Below are 26,588 nucleotides of genomic sequence, written 5' to 3'. Positions count from 1 at the left end.
GGAAATTGGTGTGTGAATCACTGGGATGAGTGAAAAGATCTGCCCCAATGTGGGCGGGCACCAACCAGTCAGCTGGGACCAGGATAGAACAAAAAGGCAGAGGAAAGATGAATTCTTTGTCTTTCTTTTCTGGGGCTGGGATGCCCTTCTTCTCCTGCCCATGGACATCAGAACTCCAGATTCTGTGGCCTTTGAACTTTGGGACTTGTACCAGTGGTCTCTTGGACTTTGAGGCCTTTGGCCTCAGACTGAGTGTTATGCCATCTCTTTCCCTGGTTGTGAGGCCTTCAGACTTGGACCGAGCTGTGCTACTGGCCTTTCTGGGTCTCTAGCTTCGAGATAGTCTATGGGACATCTCAGCCTCCATAATCTCTGAGTCAAATTTGCTAATAAATCCCCTCATATCTATCTATCTATTATCTATCTATGCTATTGATTCTGTCTCTCTAGAGAACCCTGACTAACATTGTTACAAGCCTGGAGAAGGCTTTCGAAATAGACAGTGGAAGTTGTTACTGGAGCCCAGAGAAATGTGTGAAGAGAGATGCCTTGCAGGAGCTTTGGGCTTCAGTAGAGGAATACAGCCAATATATGAGGGTAGAGGGGTGAGAAGGGGAATAAAAGCCTTGACCTCATTTTCTTGTCCTCAGTCTAATTTCCTGTTTGTGCCTCCCATTGGCCAAACTGTAGGGATCTCATAGATAGAGTACCCAAAGGTCAACATTTTGAGGCCGAGGACATGATACAGAAGGATGAACAGTGCCTTTGGAGGAAGAGATGCCAATTCAGAACTCATGAACTTTCTCATAATATGTATGAATGCACATGTGTGGAGGGGAGGGAATTTTCTTGGAAAAATAATAAACACAGCAGTTGCTGATCAACTTCATTGGTCATTACCATGAAGGACTGTGGGCACAATTTTGCCCTTTAGATAAGGCTTAAACTCTCCTGTTTGCCACAGTCTTCACTTTGTTGGTTATTTATGTTATTTATGTTAGCAGCCTGGCCTTGTAGACTTTTGTGTCTATGAGTTGTAAACTTCCAAGTTGTTGTAAATATTATAATGAAGGTATGCACAAGATAAATTGCTTATTCCTGCTTGGGGAAATAGAGAAAGGATTTCTAGAAGGCTTGATGTTTGAACTGAGTCTTAAAATATAGATTTCACAAGGTGGATATTATGGGGAAGGCACGCCAGGCAATGGAAACAATATTAATGAAGACTTAAAATTGCTTTAACATACAGTTGAAGAAACTAAAAGGTATTTAAACATGGTTGCAGCACCAGGTTGTTGGGGTTATTGGTAGAGATGAGAAAGGAAAGGCAGCCAGGGGCCACATAATGAAAGGCTGACAGCATGATGCCAAGGAATTTACTCTTCATTCTGTAGATCACTGTTTCCCACTTCTAGGAAAGAGGGTGATCCTCAAACCACATAGGAAACTATCAATTATTGTCACCTAAGAAGCTGTGAAAATGCAAAATTTCTAGACTCCAATCCAGACTTCATAAATCTATACTTTTTATTAATTCCTCCTGTGATTCTGATGGCTATCCAAGTTTAGGGATCCTAGATGTAGGTTTTCAAGGTCTACTGCATGATATGTAATATGGTGGGTGCCTTAGCAGAGTTGCCTTTAAGAAAGATCATTCTAGATGCAGTAAAATATCAGCCAGAAATTGAGAGAATCATAGATTGGGAATTTATTCAGGAAATTATTATAATTCAGAAGAAAACAGGGGAACTTGATAAAGAGATGAATGAGTTCAAGACTAATTTCAGAGGTGAAATTAATAAGATGGTGACCAATTAAATTTGGCAGGTGAGTGAAAGGGAAGAGTTAATATAAATTTTAGATTTATGGAATTATATATCAGTGTATGTTGTGAGTCTAGAATACCAAAACAAGAATGGATTTTGAAAAAGATATTTCATATCCATGGAATGTGGGGTTCATGTGTGGAATCAACCTAGAAACATTATATATCATTTTTAAAATCTGACATTCTCTCTTTGAAGGTTCTGGTTTTGTAAAGATTTGTTCCACAAATTATTCCTCTTAAAAGACCTCTTAACCCAGCATAGCTGCTGCTTTTCTCCAAAATTTCTAGAACCAGGTAAAATTTTCAACTTTACCTTTATTCTCACTTTCATGGAAACAGTCGTTTGTAGTTTTCATCTTGATAGAAGAGATTCATTTCTATGCCTAGAAAGGTAAATATTGTTACATATAATAACAATGAACAGCACAAAATGCCTAACTGCATATTAATGAAAAGTAAACTTAAGCAGTCCTTACTAATAGTATATAATAAAAACATAATTCAAAATGCCATTAGGCTAGCCTGTCAGCAGTCAAAATGCACATATGATATTGTAGAATTTAGACATAAGAAAAACTCTTTATGTACACACAGCCATTTCTTCTCAGTAACGAATAAAAATGCAAGGTAAACACTAAGTGAAGCATAAAACGTTTGGAATTAATTTGACTTTTTTTACCCAGCTTTTTTAAGAGGTTCTCACAATTCTCTGAAGAAATTCTGATCCATGAACTATGTAAATTGCTCCTTTACATGACATTTACAGTAGAAAGATATACTCAAGAGATTGGGTTGTCATAAGGGAGAGAAACCTTAATCCAGACCATTTATTGTAAAAGCGTATACAAATTGTATTAATATGTAGATGTTCTCTGGAAAAAATAAAATACTTCTCTCATTCATCCTTGCTGATTCCCTATAGATGATAAAGAGACTGCCTTTATCTACATTTTAGAAAGCTGAATTTAAAAGAGTTGATTCGACTTCTACATTTTTTAGTAATATCTTCTGGCAAAAATTTTATTTACATATATCCAGGAATATCCTTATAAATATGTGAAATTGTACATATGATGTAAATTAAAATTTCATTGAAGTCTCTCTACATAAAAATTTATTAAGTTTAATACCTAGAAAATATGTTAAAATTATGCTGAGTCAGTGACATTAAAAAAGAAATTGTGACTATCTTTGTTGATTAAAAGGAAGGTACTCCAAGAAAGGTAACACATTTTAAATTTTGTTATCATTTACATTTATTCAAAAATATATCGTATCACCTCCCTCCTTAACATCTTGCTGAGATCAGACCACTAAGGAAGGAAGTGTGAGGGAAGATGAAAGGGTGATAATTTTATATAATTTTAAGTTTCTAGATAGAAGTGTTTGAAGATGTGCCTCTGAGAGCAGCCTAAACTCCCTGACACCCAGAGAAGTTTGGGGAAAATAAGTATGCAAAGCAAATAAACCATGCAAAATAAATAAACTATGCATAGTAAGCCAAAGGGAAGTTTCACAATCTTGACAATGATAATCCCTGGATACAGCATGTATCGTTATTATACCTTTGCTTTCTCTACTCTGCCTGTACCACTACCACTATCCGATGGCTTATGGAATGCTGGACCCACCATCATGAAATACCACACAGCATAGGATCAGACCAGGAGAGCATCTGTCCACTGCACAGTAAGGGAGGTACCAAAGTAAGCCCATGACTATGGGATCCTCTGGGTGTGTCCTTTAAGAAAGGAAAAGAATAGTAAATCTAATTAAAATTCTTGACCAACAAAGGGTATTAAGAACAGAATTTAGAATGCATCATCCTATATATCTAAGGACCAAGTTGTACAAATATTTGTATGGTCATGTGATTTCATTTCCTTTGGTGAAATACCTAAGAATGGAATTGCTGAGTCCTTTGGTAAGTGTTTAACTATATAAAAACTAGATTACAAAAACTACCAAACTGTTTTCCAAAGGTGTTGCACAGTTTTGCACTCCCACTAAAAATATACGAGTTCCAGGCACTCCATGTACTAGCAAAATTTTTGTGTTGTCAGTTTATATAATTTTAACCATTCTAGTGGATGTATAGTGTCATCTCACTAAGGTTTAAATATGCATTTTTCTAATGACCAATTAATGACATTGGGTATCTTTTCATATGCTTATTGGGCTTTATATATCTTCTTTTAAAAATACCTATACAAATCTTTTGCCAAGATTTAAATATGGTATTTGTCTTCATATTATTGAGAGAGGGGAATTCATTACATGTTCTGCATACTAATACTTGAGTCAAATATATGTATGGTAAAGTTTGCCTTTTCATTCTTTATACTGTCTTTAGAATGACAGAACTATTATTAATTGTGTTGATAACTAATTTACCAATATTTTTCTTTTGTGGTTTGTGCTTTTAATATCCCTTAAAGAAATCTTTGTCTAATCCTATGTATTGATCCCCTTTCATAATGCTGTAAAGAACTGCCCAAGACTGGGTAATTTATAAAAGAAAGAGGTTTAATTGACTCACAGTTCTGCATGTCTGTGGAAGCCTCAGGAAATTTACAGTCATGGCAGAAGGGGAAGCAAACACCTTCTTCACAAGGTGGCAGGAAGGAGAAGTACTGAGCAAAGGTGGAAGAGCCCCTTATAAAACCATCAGATCTCCTGAGAACTCACTCACTATCATGATAACAGCATGGGGAAACCAGCCCTATTATTCAATTACCTTTATTTGGTGTTCCCCTTGACACATGGGGATTATGGAGATTATGGGCATTACAATTCAAGATGAGATTTGGGTGGGGAAACAAACCCTAACCATATCACCTTCACTATGATTCACTTACCTTCACCTCATCTCTCCCTTGACACATGGGGATTATGGGGATTATAAGGATTACAATTCAAGATGTGATTTTGTTGGGGACACAGCCAAACCATATCATTCTGTTCTTGGTCCCTACAAAATCTCATGTTGCTTTCACTCTTCGAAGCAAGTCATGCCTTCCCAATAGTCCCCCAAAGTCTTAATTTATTCCAGCTTTAACCCAAAAGTCCAAGTCCAAAGTCTAATCTGAGACAAGGCAGGTCCCTTCTGCCTGGGAGCCTGTAAAATCAAAAGCGAGTTAATTACTTTCTAGATACAATGGGCGTACAGGTATTGGGCAAATACACCATTCCAAATGGGATAAATTGGCCAAAATGAAGGGGCTAAAGGCCCCATGCAACTCTGAAATCCAGAGGGGCAGTCAAATCTTAAAGCTCGGAAATGATCTCCTTTAATTCTATGTCTCACATCCAGGTCACACTGATTCAAGAGCTGGGTTCCCATGGTCTTGGGCAGCTCTGTCCTGTGGCTTTGCAGGGTATAGCCTCCCTCCCGGCTGCTTTCGCATATTGGTGTTGAGTGTCGGCAGCTTTTCCAGGCACATGGTGCAAGCTGTTGGTGGATCTACAATTCTGGGGTCTGGAGGATGGTATCCCTCTTCTCAAAGCTCCTCTAGGCAGTGCCCCAGTGGGGACTCTGTGTGGGGGCTTCGACCCCACATTTCACTTCCTTACTGCCCTAGCAGAGGTTCTCCATGAGGACCTCACCCCTGCAGCAAACTCCTGCCTGGACATCCAGGCATTTCCATACATCCTCTGAAATCTAGGTAGAGGTTCCCAAACCTCAGTTCTTGACTTCTGTGCACCCACAGGCCCAACACCACGTGGAAACCAACAAGGACTAGGGCTTTCACCCTTTGAAGCAATGGCCTGAGCTGTATGTTGGCCCCTTTTAGCCATGGCTGGGATACAGGGCACCAAGTCCCAAGATTGCATAAAGCAGCAAGGCCCTGGGCCCAGCCCAGGAAACCATTTTTTCTTCCTAGCCCTCTGGGCCTATGATGGGATGGGCTGCCATGCAGACCTCTGATAGGCCCTGGAGACATTTTTCCTATTGTCTTGGTGACTAACATTTGGTTCCTTTTTACTCATGCAAATTTCTGCAGCCAGCTTGGGTTTCTTCTCAGAAAATGGGTTTTTCTTTTCTATCCCATCATCAGGCTGCAAATTTTCTGAACTTCTATGTTCTGCTTCCCTACTAAACATAAGTTCCAATTCCAAACCACCTCTTCGTGAATGCATAAAACTGAATGCTTTAAATAGCACCCAAGTCACATCTTGCATGCTTTGGGGCTTAGAAATTTCTTCTGCCAGATACCCTAAATTATCTTTCTTTAGTTCAAAGTTCCACAGATCTCTAGGGCAAGGGCAAAATGCTGCCAGTCTATTTGCTAAAGTATAGCAAGAGTCAACTTTATTCCAGTTCCCAAAAAGTTCCTCATCTCCATCTGAGACCACCTCATCCTGGACTTCATTGTCCGTTTCACTATCAGCATTTTGGTCAAAGCCAGTCAACAAGTCTGTAGGAAGATCCAAATTTTCCCACATCTTTCTATGTTCTTCTGAGCCCTGGAAACTATTCCAACCTCTTCCTGTTACCCAGTTCCAAAGTTGCTTCCACATTTTCAGGTATCTTTATAGCAGCACCCCTCTCTCTGAGGTACCAATTTACTGTATTAGTCCATTTTCATACTGCTATAAAGAACTGCCTGAGACTGGGTAACTTATAAAAGAAAGAGGTTTAACTGATTCACAGTTTAGCATGGCTGGGGAAGACTCAGGAAATGTACAGCCATAGTGGAAGGTGAACAGGAAGCAAGGCACCTTCTTCGTAAGGCAGCAGGAAGGAGAAGTGCTGAACAAAGGAGGAAGAGCCCCTTATAAAACCATCAGATCTCGTGAGAACTCACTCATTGTCATGATAACAGCATAGGGGAAACCAACCCTACTATTCCAATACCCCCACTTGGTGTTCCCCTTGACATGTGGGGATTATGGAGATTATGGGCATTACAATTCAGGATGAGATTTGGGTGGGGAAACACACCCTAACCATATCATCTTAACTATGAATTTTTTTTATACTTCTCTTAAAAGTTTGGCAGTTTAGCTTTTATATTGCTCTAATTATCTATTGCTGCATAACAAAATGTACCACAATTTAGAAGCTTAAAACAACAACCATGTTTATTTGGCTCATAAATCTGCATTTAAGCTGAGTTTGGTAAGCACTGCTTGTCTTTGTTCTACTCAATGGCAGTTAGGGCACCTGGAATGGCAGTTAGGGCAACTGGAAGGCTGGGAGCTGAAATCACCTGAAGTCTCATTCACTCACATGTCTGATGGTTGATATTGTCTATCAGGTGGGATCATAGCTGGTGTTGTCAGGCAGAACACTTACCTGTGGCCTCACCATGTGGCCTGGTCTTTTTTATAATACGATACCATGGCTGAGTTCAAACTTCTTGAGGGAAAGAGCCAGAAACAAAATGTCATACATCATATGACCTAGCCTCAAATGTCATGGTATCACCTATAGTCTCTTGGAGTGAGTTGCTAAGGCTGGTCATATTCAAGACTGGCCCATATTCAAAAAGGCTCTGCATTTTGAAATGTGGTTAAATCTGAGCAGATGTGTTTAAAACCACTACATACTTTTAAATATATGATCCATTTTGAGTAATTTTTTAGTATGGTGTTAGGTAAGAATTACAAGTAATTATTTTTCCAAAAGGAATATTCCATTTCAGCACCATTAGTTGAAATAAATACTGTTTTCCTCTTTGAATTACATTAGAATCTTGTTCTACAAAAATTAAATAACCACATATGGGTGGGTCTCTTTTTGACATTATTCTTTCATTCTATTGATTTATATGACTATCCTAACACCAATACTATTTTTTTTGATAACTACAGTTTTATAATAAGTCTTGAAATCATGTAGTGTAAGTCCTCCAACTCTGTCCTTATTTTCAAAATTGTTTTGGCTATTCCAGTTATGTTTATATATAAAGTTTAGACTCATATTGTCAATTTCTATTTTTTAATTCTATTCTAGTTATATTTACATATAAATTTTAGAATCATATTGTCAATTTCTATTTTTTAAAAATTCTACTGGGATTTTGATCAGATTTGGATAAAATCTATTGATCAATTTGAAGATAACTGACATTTTAACAATATTGAGATTTCCAATTCATGAACACAGTGTGTTGCTACATATATTTAAGTATTTCCCTAGGGATTTTTGCATATATTTTCCAATGTACAGGTCTTACACATATGCTGTTATATTTATCCCTAAGTATGTTGTATTTTCAGACACTTTTAACATGGTAATTAAGAAACTTCATCTTTCAGTTGTTCATTGCTGTTATATAAAAATATACCATTTTGATTTGGAGGATTTTGACCTTTCATTCTGCTTAATTCACTTAATAATTTTAGTAGCTGTTTTGTAGATTCCTTTGGGTTAGCTATGTAATCATCCTTTCTAACCTGTATGTCTTTCACTTCTTTGGCCTGGTTTATATCAGGCCATGGTACATTGTTTAATAGAGGCTTCATAGCAAACCTACTTGCTATTTCTGATCTCAGGGGAAAATATTCAACCTTTTACTAATAAGTACGATGTTAGCTTTACATTTTTGATAGACACCTTTTTTCAGGCTGAGAAATCTCCTTTCTATTCATAGTTTGCTGAGAACTTTTAACACAAATGAGAGTTGAAATCTGTCAAATATGTTTTGGAGTAGTATTTACTAATATGATGACATGAGTTTCTCCTTAATGCTCTTAATGTAGTGAATTATATTTGATTGATTTTCAAAGGCAAAACGATCCTTAGATTCTTAGAATAAATGCCACACAATCATGATGTATTATCCTCCTTTTATGTTACTAGGTACAATTTGCTTTCATTAATAATATTTACATCTAAGTTCAGAAGGAATATTGTCCAAAGTTTTCTGTTCTTTTAGTGTTTGGTTTTGGACACAGAGTAACGCTGAACTCATAAAATGATCTGGGAGGTATTCCTGACACATCTATTTCCCAAAACAGTGTATATAGGATCGATACAATGTCTTCCTAAATATATAATAGAATTGGATAGCGAAGCCATCTGCCCTTGAGCTTGTGTATGTGTGTGTGTTGAAAACTTTTGAATTATGAATTCAATTTTAGATAGATACAGATTTATAAATGTCAATGTCAAAGTCCAGTTGGTTGATGTCTTCTATATACTAATATTCTGTCAATAAATCACTGAGAAAGAAGTGTTCAATCAGCAACTGAAATTGTACATTTGTCTGTTTCTTCTTGCAGTTCTATAAATGTTTGTGTTATGTTTTAAGGTGCATAAATATTTAAGATTTTTTACATTCGCTTGATGAATTTACCTCTTTATTATTATGAAATGATCCTCTTTATAAAAAATTTTTTGTGATTAAGGTGGTAGTTGAAACCAAGGTTTAGAATGATATGTGAGGATAGGATAGGGGGATATAGAATGAGAAAAAGACAAAGATTAACCACAGAACTCTAGGGAACACCAATGTTTAAGGAGCAGGCCAAAGTATAGGAGCCCATTCCAGAAATTAAGATGGAGCCAAGGACAAACTTGAAGAAGTACCATGGAAGAGTAGTGCTACAGAAACAAGTGAAAAGGGAATTTAATAAGAGCATGGATATTGTTTGGTTTTGTGTGCCTGCCCAAATCTCATGTTGAATTGTAATCCCCAATGTTGGAGAGGGGTCTGGTGGGAGGGGATTGGATTGTGGAGGTGGATTTCCCCCTTGCTGTTCTTCTGATACAGAGTTCTCATGAGATCTGGCTATTTAAAAGTGTGGAGCACCTCCCCCCTTGCTCTTCCTCCTGCTCCAGCCATGTAAGATGTGACTGCTTTCCCTTCCACCATGATTGAAAGTTTCCTGAGGCCTCCCCAGTCATGTTTTCTCTGTGGCCTGCTGAGCAGTGAGCCAATTCAACCTCTTTTCTTTAGAAATTACCCAGTCTCGATTCCTGGGCAAGATGGCCGAATAGGAACAGCTCCAGTCTGCAGCTCCTAGCAAGATCAATGCAGAAGGCAGGTGATTTCTGCATTTCCAACTGAGGTACCCTGCTCATCTCATTGGGACTGGTTAGACAATGGGTGCAGCCCACAGAGGGGGAGCAGAAGCAGGATGGGGCGTCACCTCATCCAGGAAGTGCAAGGGGTTGGGGAACTCCCTCCCCTAACCAAGAGAAGCCATGAAGGACTGTGCCTTGATGAACAGTGCATTCTGGCCCAGATGCTATGCTTTTCTTACAGTCTTGGCAACCCACACACCAGGAAATTCCTTCGGGTGAGTACACCACCAGAGCCCTGGGTTTCAGCACAAAACTGGATGACCATTTGGGCAGACACCGAGCTAGCTGCAGGAGTTTTTTTTTCATACCCCAGTGGTGCCCAGAACACCAGTGAGACAGAACCATTCACTCCCCTGGAAAGGGGGCTGAAGCCAGGGAACCAAGTGGTCTAGCTCAGCAGATCCTACCCCCATGGAGCCCTTCAAGCTAAGATCGACTGGCTTGAAATTTTCACTGCCAGCACAGCAGTCCGATGTTGACCTGGGATGCTCAAGCTTGGTAGGGGGAGGGGTGTCCACTATTACTGAGGCTTGAGTAGGCTGTTTCCCCCTTACAGTGTAAACAAAGCCGCTGGGAAGTTCTAACTGGGCAGAGCCCACTGCAGCTTGGCAAAGCCGCTCTAGCCAGACTGCCTCTCTAGATTCCTCCTCTCTGGGCAGGGCATCTCTCAAAGAAAGGCAGCAGCCCCAGCCAACCGCTTACCGATAAAACTCCCGTCTCCCTGGGACAGAGCATATAGGGGAAGGGGTGGCTGTGAGCACAGCTTCAGTAGACTGAAATGTTCCTGCCTGCTGGCTCTAAAGAAAGCAGTGGATCTCCCAGCACAATGCTCAAGCTCTGCTAAGGGACAGACTGCCTCCTCAAGTGGGTCCCTGACCGCTGTGCCTCCTGACTGGGAGATACCTCCCAGCAGGGGTCAACAGACACCTCATACAGGAGAGCTCTGGCTGGCAACTGGTGGGTGCCCCTCTGGGACAAAGCTTCCAGAGGAAGGAACAGGCAGCAATATTTGCTGTTCTGCAGCCTCTGCTGGTGATATCCAGGCAAACAGGACCTGGAGTGGACCTCCAGCAAACTCCAGCAGACCTGAAGCAGAGGGGCCTGTTAGAAGGAAAACTAACAAACAGAAAGGAATCACATCAACATCAGTAAAAAGGACATCCACACATAAACCACATCTGAAGGTCACCAACATCAAAGACCAAAGGTAGATAAATCCACAAAGATAAGGAAAAACCAATGCAAAAAGACTGAAAATCCCAAAAACCAGAAAGGTTCTGTGATCCTCCAAAGGATCACAGCTCCTCCCCAGCAAGGGAACAAAACTGGATGGAGAATGAGTTTGATGAATTGACAGAAGCAGGCTTCAGAAGGTGGGTAATAATGAACAGCTCTCAGCTAAAGGAGCATGTTCTAAAACAATGCAAGGAAGCTAAGAACCTTGAAAAAATATTAGAGGAATTTCTAACTAGAATATCCAGTATGGAGAAGAACATAAATGCCCCAATGGAGCTGAAAAACATAGCATGAGAACTTCATGAAGCACACGCAAGTATCAATAGCTGAATCGATCAAGCAGAAGAAAGGATATCAGAAATTGAAGATCAACTTAATGAAATAAAACATGAAGACACGATTAGAGAAGAAAGAATGAAAAGGAATGAACAAAGCCTCCAAGAAATATGGAACTATGTGAAAAGACCAAACCTATTTTTGATTGGTGTACCTGAAACTGATGGGGAGAATGGAAGCAAGTTGGAAAACATTCTTCAGGATATTATCCAGGAGAACTTCCCCAACCTAGCAAGACAAGCCAACATTCAAATTCAGGAAATACAGAGAACACCACAAAGATACTGCTCGAGAAGAGCAATCCAAAGACACATAATCATCAGATTCACCAAAGTTGAAATACCAGAAAAAAATGTTAAGGGCAGCCAGAGATAAAGGTCATTACCCACAAAGGGAAGCCCATCAGACTAACAGTGGATCTCTCTGCAGAAAACCTACAAGCTGGAAGAGAGTATAGGGGTCAATATTCAACATTCTTAAAGAAAAGAATTTTCAACCCAGAATTTCATATCCAGCCAAACTAAGCTTCAAAAGCAAAAGAGAAATAAGATCCTTCACAGAAAAACAAAGGCTGATTTTGTCACCACCAGGCCTGCCTTACAAGAGCTCCTGAAGGAAGCAGTAAATATGGAAAGGAAAAACTAGTACCAGCCACTGCAAAAACATACCAAATTGTAAAGACCATCTACATTATGAAGAAACTGCATCAACTAACGGGCAAAATATCCAGCTAGCATCATAATAACAGGATCAAATTCACACATAACAATATTAACCTTAAATGTAAATGGGCTAAATACCCTAATTAAAAGACACAGACTGGCAAATTGGATAAAGAGTCAAGACCCATCATTGTGCTGTATTCAGGAGACCCATCTCAGGTGCAAAGACACACATAGGCTCAAAATAAAGGGATGGAGGAATATTTACCAAGCAAATGTAAAGAAAAAAAAAAAAACAACAGGGGTTGCAATCCTAGTCTCTGATAAACTGACTTTAAACCTACAAAGATAAAAAAAAGACAAAGAAGGCCATTATATAATGATAAAGGGATCAATGCAACAAGAAGAGCTAACTATCCTAAATATATATGCACCCAATACAGGAGTACCCAGATTCATAAAACAAGTTCTTAGAGACCTACAAAGAGACTTAGACTCCCACACAATAATAGTGGGAGACTTTAACACCCCACTGTCCATATTAGGCAGATCGACAAGTCAGAAAATTAGCAAGGATATTCAGGACTTGAACTCAGCTCTGGACCAAACAGACCTAATAAACATCTACAGAACTCGCCACCCCAAATCAACAGAATACAATCTCCTCAGCACCACATCACATTTATTCTAAAATTGACCACATAATTGGAAGTAAAACACTCCTCAACAAAGGGAAAAGAACAGAAATCATGACAAGCAGTCTCTCAGACCACAGTACAATCAAATTAGAACTCAGGATTAAGAAACTCACCCAAAACCACACAACTACATGGAAACTGAACAACCTACTCCTGAATGATTACTGGGTAAATGACGAAATTAAGGGAGAAATAAATAAGTTCTATGAAACCAATGAGAACAAAGACACAATGTACCAGAATCTCTGGGACACATTTAAGGCAATATTTATAGGGAAATTTATAGCACTTAATGCCCACAGGAGAAAGCGAGGAAGATCTAAAATCGACACCCTAACATCACAGTTAAAGGAACTAGAGAAGCAAGAGCAAACAAATCCAAAAGCTAGCAGAAGACAAAAAATAACGAAGATCAGAGCAGAACTGAGGGAGATAGAAAAACAAAAAACCCCTCCCAAAAATCAGTGAATCCAGGAGCTGGTTTTTTGAAAAGATTCACAAAATAGATAGACCACTAGCCAGACTAGTAAAGAAGAAAAAAAGAGATCAATTAGACACAGCAAAAAATGATAAAGAGGATATCACCACTGATCACACAGAAATGCAAACTACCATCAGAGAATGCTATAAACACCTCTATGCAAATAAACTAGAAAATCTAGAAGAAATGGATAAATTCCTGGACACATACATCCTCCCAAGACTAAACCAGGAAGAAGTCCAATCCCTGAATAGACCAATAACAAGTTCTGAAATTGCAGAAGTAATTAATAGCCTACGAACCAAAAAAAGCCCAGGACCAGACAGATTCACAGCCATATTCTACCAGAGGTACAAAGAGGAGCTGGTACCATTCCTTCTGAAACTATTCCAAACAATAGAAAAAGAGAGAGACTCCTCCCTAACTCATTTTATGAGGCCAGCATCATCCTGATGCCAAAACCTGGCAGAGACACAACAAGAAAAGAAAATATCAGGCCAATATCCCTGAGGAACATTGATGCGAAAATCCTCAGTAAAATACTTGCAAACCGAATCCAGCAGCACATCAAAAAGCTTATCCACCATGATCAAGTTGGATTCATCCCTGGGATGCAAGGCTGTTTCAACATATGCAAATCAATAAACATGATCCATCACATAAACAGAACCAATGACAAAAACAACATGTTAATTGATGCAGAAAAGTCCTTCAATAAAATTAAAAACCCCTTCATGCTAAAACCTCTCAATACACTAGGTATTGATGGAACATATATCAAAATGATAAGAGCTATTTATGACAAACCCACAGCCAATATCACACTGAATGGGCAAAAGCTGGAAGCATTCCCTTTGAAAACCAGCACAAGACAAGGATGCCCTCTTTCACAACTCCTATTCAACATAGTATTGGAAGTTCTGGCCAGAGCAAACAGGCAAGAGAAAGAAATAAAGGTATTCAAATAGGAAGAGGGGAAGTCAAATTGTCTCTCTTTGCAGATGACATGATTATATATTTAGAAAACCCCATCATCTCAGCCCAAATTCTCCTTAAGCTGAGAAGCAACTTCAGCAAAGTCTCAGGATACAAAATCAATGTGCAAAAATCACAAGCACTCCTATACACTAATAACAGAGGGTCAAATCATGAGTGAACTCCCATTCATAATTGCTACAAAGAAAATACAATACCTAGGAATACAACTTACAGGGGATGTGAAGGACCTCTTCAAGGAGAACTACAAACCACTGCTCAAGGAAATAAGAGAGGACACAAACAAATGGAAAAACATTCCATGCTCGTGGATAGAATCAATATTGTGAATATGGCCATACGGACCAAAGTAATTTATAGATTCAATGCTATCCCCATCAAGCTACCATTGACTTTCTTCATAGTATTAGAAAAAACTACCTTAAATTTCATATGGAGTCAGAAAAGAGCCCATATAGCCAAGATAATCCTAAGCAAAAAGAACAAAGCTGGAGGCATCACACTTCTTAACTTCAAACTATACTACAAGGATACAGTAACCAAAACAGCATAGTACTGGTACCAAAACAGATATATAGACCAATGGTACAGAACAGAAGCCTCAGAAATAATGCCACACATCTACAACCATCTGATCTTGGACAAACCTGACAAAAACAAGAAATGGGGAAAGGATTCCCTATTTAATAAATGGTGCTGGGAAAACTGGCTAGCCATATGCAGAAAACTGAAACTGGAACCCTTCCTTAAACCTTACACAAAAATTAACTCAAGATGGATTAAAGACTTAAATGTAATACCTAAACCATAAAAAGCCAGAAGAAAACCTAGAGAATACCATTCAGGACAGAGGCATGGGCAAAGACTTCATGACTAAAACACCAAAAGCAATGGCAACAAAAGCCAAAATTGACAAATGGGATCTAATCAAACTAAAGAGCTTCTGCACAGCAAAAGAAACTATCATCAGAGTGAAAAGGCAACCTACAGAATGGGAGAAAATGTTTGCAATCTATCCATCTGACAAAGGGCTAATATCCAGAATCTACAATGAAGTTAAACAAATTTACAAGAAAAAAACAAACAACCATCAAAAAGTGGGCAAAGGATATGAACACACACTTCTCAAAAGAAAACATTTATGCTCCAACAAACATATGAAAAAAAGCTCATCATCACTGGTCATCAGAGAAATGCAAATCAAAACCACAATGAGATACCATCTCACGCCAGTTAGAATGGCAATCATTAAAAAGTTAGGAAACAACAGATGCTGGTGAGGATGTGGAGAAATATGAACGCTTTTACACTGTTGGGAGTGTAAATTACTTCAACCATTGTGGAAGACAGTGTGGTGATTCCTCAAGAATCTAGAACCAGAAATACCATTTGACCCAGCAATCCCATTACCAGGGATATACCTAAAGGATTATAAGTCATTCTACTATGAAGACACACGCACATGTATGTTTATTTCAGCACTATTCACAATAGCAAAGACTTGGCACCAACCCAAATGGCCATCAATGATTGACTGGATAAAGAAAATGTGGCACACATACACCATGGAATACTATGCAGCAATAAAAAAGGATGAGTTCATGTCCTTTGCAGAGACATGGATGAAGCTGGAAACCATCATTCTCAGCAAACTAATACAGGAACAGAAAACCAAATACCACATGTTCTCATTCATAAGTAGTAGTTGAACTATGAGAACACACGGACACAGGGAAGCGAACATCACACACCCGGGCTTGTGGGGGCTAGGGGAAGGATAGCATTAGAAGAAATACCTAATGTAGATGGTGGGTTGATGGGTGCAGCAAACCACCATGCCACATTTACACCTATGTAACAAACCTGCACGTTCTGCACATGTATCCTAGAACTTATAGTATAATAATAATAATAAAAGAAATTACCCTGTCTTAGGTATTTCTTTATGGCAGCACAAGAACGGACTAATATAAGCATGTTTAAAAGTGTCAAATGTTGCAGAGTCACTTTTAAGATGTCTAAATATTGATAATAGAAGGTGATTTTGAGAAGTTTATCAATAAACCTTAGCAAGAGCATTGCAATAATGAGTTGGACTTAGATTGGATATGAAAGGAAGGAAAGAGAGGTCAGTATGTTGAAAATATATTGAGAGAAGGGCTATGAGATGGGAAAGATTTGATCATGTTTATGTACTGACATGAAAGGAGAATTTTGAAGATACAGAAGAGAGGGGTGATTATGATCTTAGTGAGAAGGAAATAAATCTCGTAGTTATAAGCTGATTGGAACAAGAACCATAGTATACTGCCAATTATTAATTGCCATAATTCATAAAAACAACATTTTATTACTCTCTATAAACTTCAGCTATGATCATTTCTACATATTTTAGGGCACTATTTAACTTTATTTCCCTCCTAATTTTCTTTGCAGGAGAAATACTAACTACTTTTGACACATCTGGCTTATCACAGAAGAACTCATGATTTACCAATTGTTTTCCTTTGGTTTCATCAGTTTCCTCTTTGTGCAGTGTTATGCCTCATCATACAAGAATGTCATGTTTCCCCATTATGTTAGTGTATACAAGATGAAGAAAATATGTTTTCCAAGTAACATTCTGAACATAAAGTACATATTTTCCATCACTTCTAATTTAGAGCACAACAGTTTCTTTCTGGTTTCTAACAGGACACAAACTAAATATAAAATTTGAAGAACACCATAATTGCAATGATATATAAAATGCTATTTGTGTAAATACTAATAACCATACATTTTTCTTATTCACATGTCAATGTGTGGTTTTCATATACGTTACATATTTTTAAAAGGTCTTAATGATGTGATGTATCTGATTACTTAGAGTGGCAGAGGCACTCTTCACTGGTTACTAATTACTGCTCTATCAGGGTTTCTAATCATTTTTGAATCACAGATAAGCTTGAGAACCTGATGAAAATCATGCCCCATGTTTCTAGAAGAAATACATAAACCTGGACGTATATGCACATATAAATTTGCATACCTTTTTGGAGATTAAAAAGCCTGATTTAAAGGAATATAATTTTGGGATATTGGGGTTAATGTCAAAGGAAAAATAAAGAGCATAACATTGAAGGCATAGCAACATGGTTTGTTTGTTTGTTTGTTTGTTTGTTTAGTTAGTTAGCTAATTATTTTGAGACAAGGTTTCACTCTGTCACCCAGGCTGGAGTGCAGTGGCTCAATCATGGCTCACTGCAGCCTCGACCTCCCAGGTTCAAGTAATCCTTCCACCTCAGCCTCCCAAGTAGCTGGGACTATAGGCATATGCCACTATGCCCAGCTAATTTTTTTGTATTTTTTTTTTTGTAGAGACAGGGTTTCATCATGTTGCCCAGAATGGTCTTGGACTCCTGGGCTTATGCAATTCTCTCGCCTTGGCCTCCCAAAGTGCTGGGATTACAGGCCTGAGCCACCAGGCCCAGCAGCAACATGGTTTAAAAGCAAGAGTTTTGGAGTCAGATTTGGATTCAAGTCTTGACCCAGCACTTAGCAGTTGGGTATTCTCAGCCATGTTACTTAACAACTCTTAGCTTAAGTATATACCTATGTAAAGTGAGGTTGGAGAAAGGATTCAATTAGATAAAAAGCAAAGTACGTGACAAATGCATATAATATGCAGATAGTCGATGTTTGTTTTAAATTCCAGGGAAACAGCTTCAATTGAATGGTTCTCAAAGGCATGGGAATTTTTCATTTAGATTTTGTTGTTTATGTTTAAATCTATCAGATTTGGATTAAGAATCTCACAGAAAGTTAATCTCAAAATCCAGCTTTCTGATTGCTGAGTCTGATAGAAGTATTGCTGTGCTGTATACACACCGCTCAGGTAGTGCGCATCTTTGGTTGGGGTGACCTTCTAGGGGTCATTCGGTCACCAAGTGACAGGATGCCATGGATCAGTGGGCACAACTAATTCTCTTTAGTATTTGAAATATCCCATAGAGTGACATGTTTTACAAGGTTGTTCTCAATATTAGTCAGTTAAATAACAGAATGAAAAGGTGCTTAACTTTGGCAGAAAAGAAAATACACATATTCCACAAACAAGAAAGATAATTGTGATAATTTTATCAAATGCCCTAAGTCACCCTCATATGTTTCAATTATCAAAAGTAATATTCTTGTTATATAATAATATATAATAAAATTCCAGATTTTAAAATGTGTTATAAGATTTCAAGGATCATACTAGTTGTGATGGCAGTTCATTTGGCTAAGATTGACATTTTTGGCTTCTTAAAACAGTGCTCTCAGTCCTGTAGCTTCAGACACAGCTTCACTAACGAGGGTAGGACCTTAATTTCAATTTCCTCATCTGTTCTCTTATTTCAGCCAACGAACAGTATCCTAAGGCTGTGTGCTGACCTCGGAACATGAGTCTAGACAGAACACTAGAAAATGCCTTTAAAAGGTGCCATGAACAATATCCAAAATATCATCTCTTGATTGGGCCGGACAATTTATTGTGCCAAAATCCTTCTATGTGTGGTTGCACCCAAAGCAGGTGCTTCTATGGAAAATATATCCAAGACAATTTCTGTCTCATTTTACTTTGAGCAAAGCCAATTTTTAATTTAAAAAGTACATGCTTAGATGCCTCTGAGATGTTTTCCTGACATAGTAATCCAAGTAACTTCTGACTGAGACGAAGGGAAGGTATCTCTCTCTGAAGAGCCTTATCATAGAGTGAGAGTTTTAAAGAGTTTTGGGAAAGCTCTGCCCTTCTGAAATTGAATTTTGTTCAGGATATTGAGATTTTAAGGGCATTTTGCCTCCTTGCCAATTTTATTATACCATTATTTTTTATTTAAATTACAGATTCTTTTTTGTCTCCTTCTCTGCAAGAGGCTGGCACCAGATCACCTCCTGAGTAGAGCAGACATTCCAAAGGATGTCCTGCCAACAATAATGGAAAGCTGGATACAACTGAATATGTAAAATGGTACCTGAGATGCTTAGAAAACTGTAAAGTTTAATGCTGCATATCCAGTGCAAATGTCAAACACTACAGCTGCTGCTTCTACATGCTGCATGAAAAGCGTGTTTGTGTGTGTGTGTGTGTGTATGTGTGTGTTTAAATTCATGGCTTCTTTTTTCTTTGCTTATGAATCTCTGCACATCTGTCTTTTAAAATGTCTTATTTATAGGGTCAACATTTCTTGTCTAATGAGATGGGCCAAAAAGATCTTTAATCACTCACATACTCACAAGGAAAATGACATGTCCCAAATAAAAGATTGAGCAGGATTTATTTCTAAAATATCTTAAATGTTCTCCAATAACACTTGACAAATATAATTTTCAATACTGACTGAACTTTTCTTCCCCTTAGGAGTTCTACACTCATTTAAAATAAATAGTATATCGTTGATGGTTTTTGAAGTCTCAGAATGTTAAGCTGCCTTTTAGAAATTCTGAGTTACATAGAAAACATTAAGAATCTATCTTCTTAATTTAAACAAATGGCATGGTACATTCCCCAAACACTCAACCACCATAAATAACACTGGGAATACTAAGAATGCATGATTCAGGAGATGCAGAAAAATTGTACTTTCCCAGAAAATCTGCGTTTTATAAAGAAAGGCACATAACCTTTCTGGAAGCCTCAGGTATTGCACCTTCAAAGATGATTCTTTTATTCAACCTTAACCTAAAAATCACAGGATTATGACAAAGCATAAGTTTAAAAATAAAAAATTGCTTAAAATATTGAAAATGTAAATTCCTGAAGATTTGAAGACACATGTAATTTCATAAGAAGGGGGGCTTCATATGGATATACAGTACAAAAAATGTCTTCATAAAGAAACAATGACTTGAATTGATTCTACACTTTAGGGAAGCTATTCTTTTTAAATGAGACTTTGAATTGGGGACAAAGACCTTGACACTGGAGTACCCACTATAGTGTAGCTGATTTAAAGCACCAGGGGTTTAAATGGTCACAATATATTATTTTCGGTAAGTACACTTCTGGAATGTTTCAGTTTGGATTAAGCATCCTGAAACATGGATTTAATTAAAGGAGCCCTTCAGATAATTATGGGACTGATTTTCAAAGGCATGCTAGATGATTCAGATTCCTAGCAACATTCTGAGCTGCATCATTTAAAGACTGGTCTGGAAGGGCTATCCTCTGAGAATTTATCATTTTCCAAGAACTGAAGAAATTTCCTGGCTGAACATCTAGAAGTCAAAAACTGAGACCTGGAGCATCTTTATCTTAAATAACTATCAACTTTGAGTGACATTTAGGAGCCTCTTAGAAAGGCCTCAAAAGAGCAGGCTCAGATTTACCAGAATAAGAAAACATATTGTCTAAAACTGAGCTAGGAACTCTGGGATCATCCCCAAATTCTGACCAGTGAAGAGACTCCTATGTGCACTCACCACACTACCACAGCTCTGCTGAAGGATGGATAAAAACAATGATCTCCAAAATGGAAGTTTAGGAACCCACAGGAATTGGAAAAACAAGCCATTTTGGTCTGGAAAGACAATATTATAAATTCTATCTATATCCACTTTTTAATTATGTCCTTAAAAACTTTTTATGTATACATTTAAAATGTACCTAATAAATGTAATATGTTATGTAATGTATAAATAGGTATACTTCTGTGCAGACATGTGATCAGCAGTAGATACCACAAATTCTAAAACAGTTTCACTTTCTGGGACTTCTCATCCTTCTCAGAATGGGGTGTAGGGTCAATGGGTCTGCTGCCTGGCAGTACCTGATAGCAAGCTGTGGGGATCAGCTGTTCCATATTATTCACGATAAAGCTGGTGTGCTGTGGATTCATCCACTCATTCAACAAATATTTCCCAAGCTATGAGGATGAAACAGTGAACCACGGAGACACAGTTAGATCTATGTTCACGGAGCTTACATTCTCACAGGAGAAAAGATAAACAAGCAAGAAAATGAGTAAAATGTAAAGCTAGGCAACATCACATATCCCTAACGTAAGACATTACTCATGTGATATTCCTGCCAAAAATGATTAACTGTAATCTAATCATGAGGGATTAACTAAAACAATGAAATTTAAAAAGACATTCTCCAAAGTTGTTAATAAGATGAAAGACAAAAAAAAAAAAAAAGCTGAGAACTATTCCAGATTAAAGGTGACTAAAGATATATAATACAATGCAATATGTGATCTTTGTTAGAATACTGAATTGGAAAAAAACAGCTATAAATAACATTATTGGAACAATTAAATAATTTAAATATTGACTGAATATTAAACAGTATAATTGAATCCATACAATTTTTCCTGATGCGATCATTGTATTGTGATTATTTAAAAGAATGACCTTGTTCTTGGGAAATACTCATGGAAGTAGATAAATCCAGGTGAATGGAATAAGGTGTTCATTAAATATTCTTGCTGCTTCTCTCTAAGCTTGAACATGTTGCAAGTAAAAAGTTGTAGAATAATAAACAAAAGCTGTGTGTGTGTGTGTGTGTGTGTGTGTGTGTGTAGCAATATAAGAGAAAAAAAGCAATGAGGGTGGAGATGGAGATAATTATTTTATGTTGGTGATGAGAGAGATCCTTTTTAAAAATATATTTGCATTTGAACAAAGATGTAGTTGCAGAAAGAAGTGAGGGAACAGACTATGCAGCTATCTGGGAGACAAGACTTTCAAGCAGCATATCTGCCATATTTGAAGACAGAAAAGATACCAATGAGACAAAAGCAGAGTGAACAAGAGGGAAGACAGAAGGAGATGAGGTCAGATAAGTAGCTCAGAGTAAGGTCATTGTTGAACCTCATAAGGAATGATGGCATCATTGGAATTTTCCTCTGAGTAGGAGAAAAATCACTGGAGGTTTTTGAACCAAAATATCATATGATCTATTTTGATGCTACTATAAATGGGATTATTTTCTTAATTTTATTTTACACTTGTTCACTGCTAGTACATAGAAAAACAATTGATTTTGTGTACTGATGTTGTATCCTACAAACTTATTAAGTTTTAGCACTGCAAAACATTTCATTGTATGAATGTATCACAGTTTGTGCATTCACCTACTGAAGGGCATCTCGGTTACTTTCAATTTTTGGCAATCATGAATAAAACTGCTATAAACATCCATGTGCAGGTTTTTGGTATGGACATAGTTTTCAACCCATTTGGGTAAATACCAAAGAGCATGATTTCAGGATCATATGTTAAGAGTCTATTTAATTTTGTAAGAAACTGAGCAAGACTGTTTTCTAAAGTGGCTGTACCATTTTGCATTTCACCAGCAATGAATGAGAGTTCCTGTTGCTCCACACTCTCATCAGCATTTGGTATTGTCACTGTTTTTAATTTTAGCCATTGTAAGAGATATGTAGTAGAAATTACTTTTTTACCCTCTATAACGAACCCCTCCCCCAGCCCCACGCACACACACACGAATTTAAAGTCAAAGCTGAAGTATCAAATCATCACTTTTTGGACTGAACATGAAATTTTTTCAGTAGACGAATTTGTGCTAAGCTTGAATCACACCACACTACACAAGGTGAGAGCATTGTAAGATGCTCTGTTTTCATGCCTGCAAGTGATAGATTATGCCAGAGTTGCAGGTTTGACCAACATTCATATCTGATATGAGCAATAAGATGCAAATATACATGGTCTGAATAAAGTGCCATTGTGCACATATTCTTTAAATAGATTCCTTCTAGTCTAAGGGTTCTAACAGAACATCTTGTAAATGCGTGGCATCTTCAATAAAAATCTTATAAGCTTTTCTTAAAAGATTTCAAAAAGCATCTTTTTCTTGAATTTTAAATGCAGAAAGACCTTAAAGTTTATTTAGACCAAGTCTGTCTTTTTTTACCAGCGGCAGAGGAGGCCCAGAAAGGTAAAGTAATTTACCCAGCTTATGTGTTGGATTATTTGTGGTAGATCAGTCACAGGAACTCTACTCCACACCCTTTCCATTGTATAATACAATGGTGCCCCTTGAAATTGGCTGTGAATTATGTCTTTCCAGCTGCAAATTCTGCTTTCCTGTCTACCTAAGCAACTACAACTCACCTATCGTCGCATCTTCTGCTTCATAAAAGCTCTATCTCCTTTTGAAATGATAAATCTTCCACTTATAACGTTAAAATTGATGACAGTGATAATTCCAAAATTGACTACTCACAAGTTTAAATTTTCCTTAAATAAATTTCAAAGCCAATAATCTGTTTATCTGAATTGTTTAAAATTTTCCCATCCCTCTTTTTCTGTCATCTTCTTCTCTTAAAACCCTCCCCACATAGAGTGAGCCATGATTTCCTTTCTATGCTTTCCCTGCACTTTGGCATCTCTTCCTTCCCTAGTGGAATCTATTTTAGGTTCATGAAATCTCCTATTTTAATGATCTCTTGGGCAACTATCTTTTACGTTCTTTTTATTTTGGGGATTTGTATACTTCACCTTCTCTGTTCAAATCCTATGATTCCAATCTATTAAGAGATATGATGTACTGTAGATTAGTTCCCTAGTAACAGAAATGTTCTTCCATGTCAGTTATAAAATAATAGGAAATTATATAAGCAAAAACAGCAGCAGTAATTTGTTCCCTGATTTCATAAATTAAGAAAAATATCATCTGAACAAACATCAAAATCATGTTATGATTAAAAACTCTATTAATCAAAGATATAATTAGTGTGCTCAAATATGAGATTGCTGAAGTATTGGGACTTATGACTAGAAGAATATAGAGAAGCTTCCATGAATATTCTCTGGAAAAATTAAAAATGATAAATAAATAAGAAGCCAGGAAGTAACTGTGAGTGAGGAGATGCAGATGTTTCAGAGAAAGAAAACATCGCCTTAATGTTGCTATGGCTGTATTTAAATATAATAAGTGTACACAATGACAGATTATCCCAAGACAAGAGGTAATCATTATGAGATACTTATAATAGCTGGGTTCTACTTCAATGTCTAATTGAAATATCAGACATCACACATGTTCAGCAGATATAATTACACCATAATCATCCTAAAGATAGAATGCAAACTTAAGTATGATGCTAATGGAGATGAAGAGGATGGGTTTTTGAAGATATGGAAGAAAGTTGGATTAGAAATAGAAAATAAACCAGTTCTCTCAGACATCAGTGGTTGATACATTTCATTCACATTGTTCTTTTATTTTATTAATTTATTAATTTAGTCTATTTAGACTAGTCACACTATTATTATTATTATTATTTTTGAGACAGAGTCTCACTCTGTCACTCAGGCTGGAGTGCAGTGGTGCTACCTCAGATCTCGGCTCACTGCAAGCTCCGCCTCCCAGGTTCACACCATTCTCCCAGCTGCAGCCTCCCAAGTAGCTGAGACTACAGGTGCCCACCACCACACCCAGCTAATATTTTGTATTTTTAGTAGAGACGGGGGTTTCACTGTGTTACCCAGGATGGTCTTGATCTCCTGACCTCGTGATCTGCCCGCCTCAGCCTCCCAAAGTGCTGGGATTACAGGCATGTTATTTTTTTCTATAACATGTAGTATGTTCAATATTCAAACTTTTGAGAAAGTACCATGACAGTTAAATATTGAAACTATAGATACTGTAAGCCTGTTCCTAGGAAAGACTTCAGAATATATATCTCTTTGCTAAACATTTCAGTGTATTTGATTATTCAATACTACCATTTAATGTTATAGTGTACAGAATAGTACTGGACAAACACAACTCATTCTTGGGATGCAATCTTAAAACAACATTTTTTCCCCCACTGCCTGTTAATTTTATTAGGAGAGGCTAGACTTTCCTTATCCTTGGAAATAACAGTTTCAATATGGATAGTAAAATGTCTAGAACTATGTAATAGTTAAAACTCTGAGTTTATTTAAAATTAGGGTATCTCTCACAGTATAGAGCATGTACTCCTTCCTCAGCTCATAGAAACATGATAATGCCCTCACTTCCCTTGGTCAAGGTCCCTTCATCCTTCAGTCTAGGCTACCCTCTTAGACAGGACCTTCCCCATGTTAACGTTCATCTCCAGAACCTAATTCACAGGTTACTTGTATACATTCCCTAATACCAATAAAACCTCAAAGTGCAGGACGCCCAGTGAGGCCACTCTCCTCTTGCTAATTGCAAACATGCAGTTTGCTATTTCTCATCCTAGAGATTTCACACATGACAGCAAGATCCCACTCTTGGAGTGGTCTCATTAAAGCCTCCTTTCTACATGTCAGACTAACAGGTAATGCAACCTTATCCCTTTGAGGGGAGACATGGCTATTTACAGCACTCAGTGCTCTCTCTTAAGAAATTTTCCTTGCATTGTCTCATTAAAGACCCTTTTCCCAGGAAAAGGGTCTTTAAGCAAGGAGATTTTTGCATCAGACCTCTAACAGGTCTTTCTAAAGAAATTGTCCCCAGATCCTCTCTGAACCTGACACATACTGATCCTTTTATTTTGCAGATGTTAATGAAGAATTGAAGAGCACTGTATCTAGTTTTCTGCTCTCCCCTGTAAGTATTAACATTTATACTGCCACTTCACTTTGGAATGTCATATTAATTGTTCTCAGCACCTCAGTTTAAACTACCAACTCTTTTTTGGTAGTACCAGCTACCAGTAATTCCACACACCAGGATTAAATGGCAAAAACCTAAGTAATGATGGTGAAAATACTTCAAGAAATGTATATAGTTTTTAAAAATCGAATTATCTGTCACCTGAGTCATTTAATGTTTATAAATAGAAAGCCTTGATTTTCATGTGGCTCTGGATAATTGCAGAGCCATTCTGGCGTCAAAACTAGGTCCAACAGAACTTTAGGGAAACATGCCCCAGTGCTTAATAAATACTTGCAAGTAGAAGATGCAAAACGGTCCACTGAACAATCTCCATCTAGGCCCTTTGCATCTGGCCAAGATGAAGTGAGCGGGGGTGCCTCAGTTTTATATCTAAATGCCCAGCATGTTCAGGTCATCAGTCTGTCCATGACAATCTGGGATTACGGTACAAATTAGCAAGACCAGCAACTCAAACTAGGTCCATTGTTGGTCAAGCCATTATGGCATCTATGCTGGTTCATGTGTCTGGCCCAGGCAGCATGAGTGTGATAGACAGTGTGCCTAAACTATTAATAGTAAGTATATCCAGATCATCAGTCTCTTCACAATGGGCACTGTTGAAGAGTTGGTCCAGATGTTGGCCATATGTTTCATCTTTCATATATATCCTTAATTATGGTCTATGCTCTAGCTGGGAATGCCTAAAGGTGGCTG

The 26,588-nt window shown here is 37.7% G+C and overlaps 2 long non-coding RNA genes across 3 annotated transcripts in view; one reads left to right on the top strand and one right to left on the bottom strand.

Annotated features, from left to right (window-relative positions):
* Nucleotides 1-4,331, bottom strand: part of LOC105379168 (uncharacterized) — a 273,909-nt gene extending 269,578 nt beyond the window's left edge. Inside the window, exons 1-2 of the long non-coding RNA XR_001742460.1 lie at nt 3,460-4,331; nt 2,142-2,211 (exon numbers count right to left, since the gene is read on the bottom strand). This is a non-coding gene — a long non-coding RNA (uncharacterized LOC105379168). The remainder of the gene's footprint in view (nt 1-2,141; nt 2,212-3,459) is intronic.
* Nucleotides 4,332-7,011: 2,680 nt separating this feature from the next.
* Nucleotides 7,012-25,826, top strand: LOC105379167 (uncharacterized). Of its 2 annotated transcripts, none has more exons than XR_948768.3 (3): nt 7,012-7,089; nt 19,142-19,265; nt 25,777-25,826. It is a non-coding gene; the product is annotated as an uncharacterized LOC105379167 (long non-coding RNA). The 2 variants fall into 2 exon arrangements; XR_948769.2 differs by lacking the exon at nt 7,012-7,089 and adding an exon at nt 9,832-10,078.
* Nucleotides 25,827-26,588: the final 762 nt, after the last annotated feature.

Source organism: Homo sapiens, chromosome 5 (assembly GCF_000001405.40).
Source record: "Homo sapiens chromosome 5, GRCh38.p14 Primary Assembly".
NCBI classification, from domain to species: domain Eukaryota; kingdom Metazoa; phylum Chordata; class Mammalia; order Primates; family Hominidae; genus Homo; species Homo sapiens.
The sequence above is the reverse complement of the archived record's forward strand: the minus strand, read 5'-3'. Positions and strand labels throughout refer to the sequence as shown.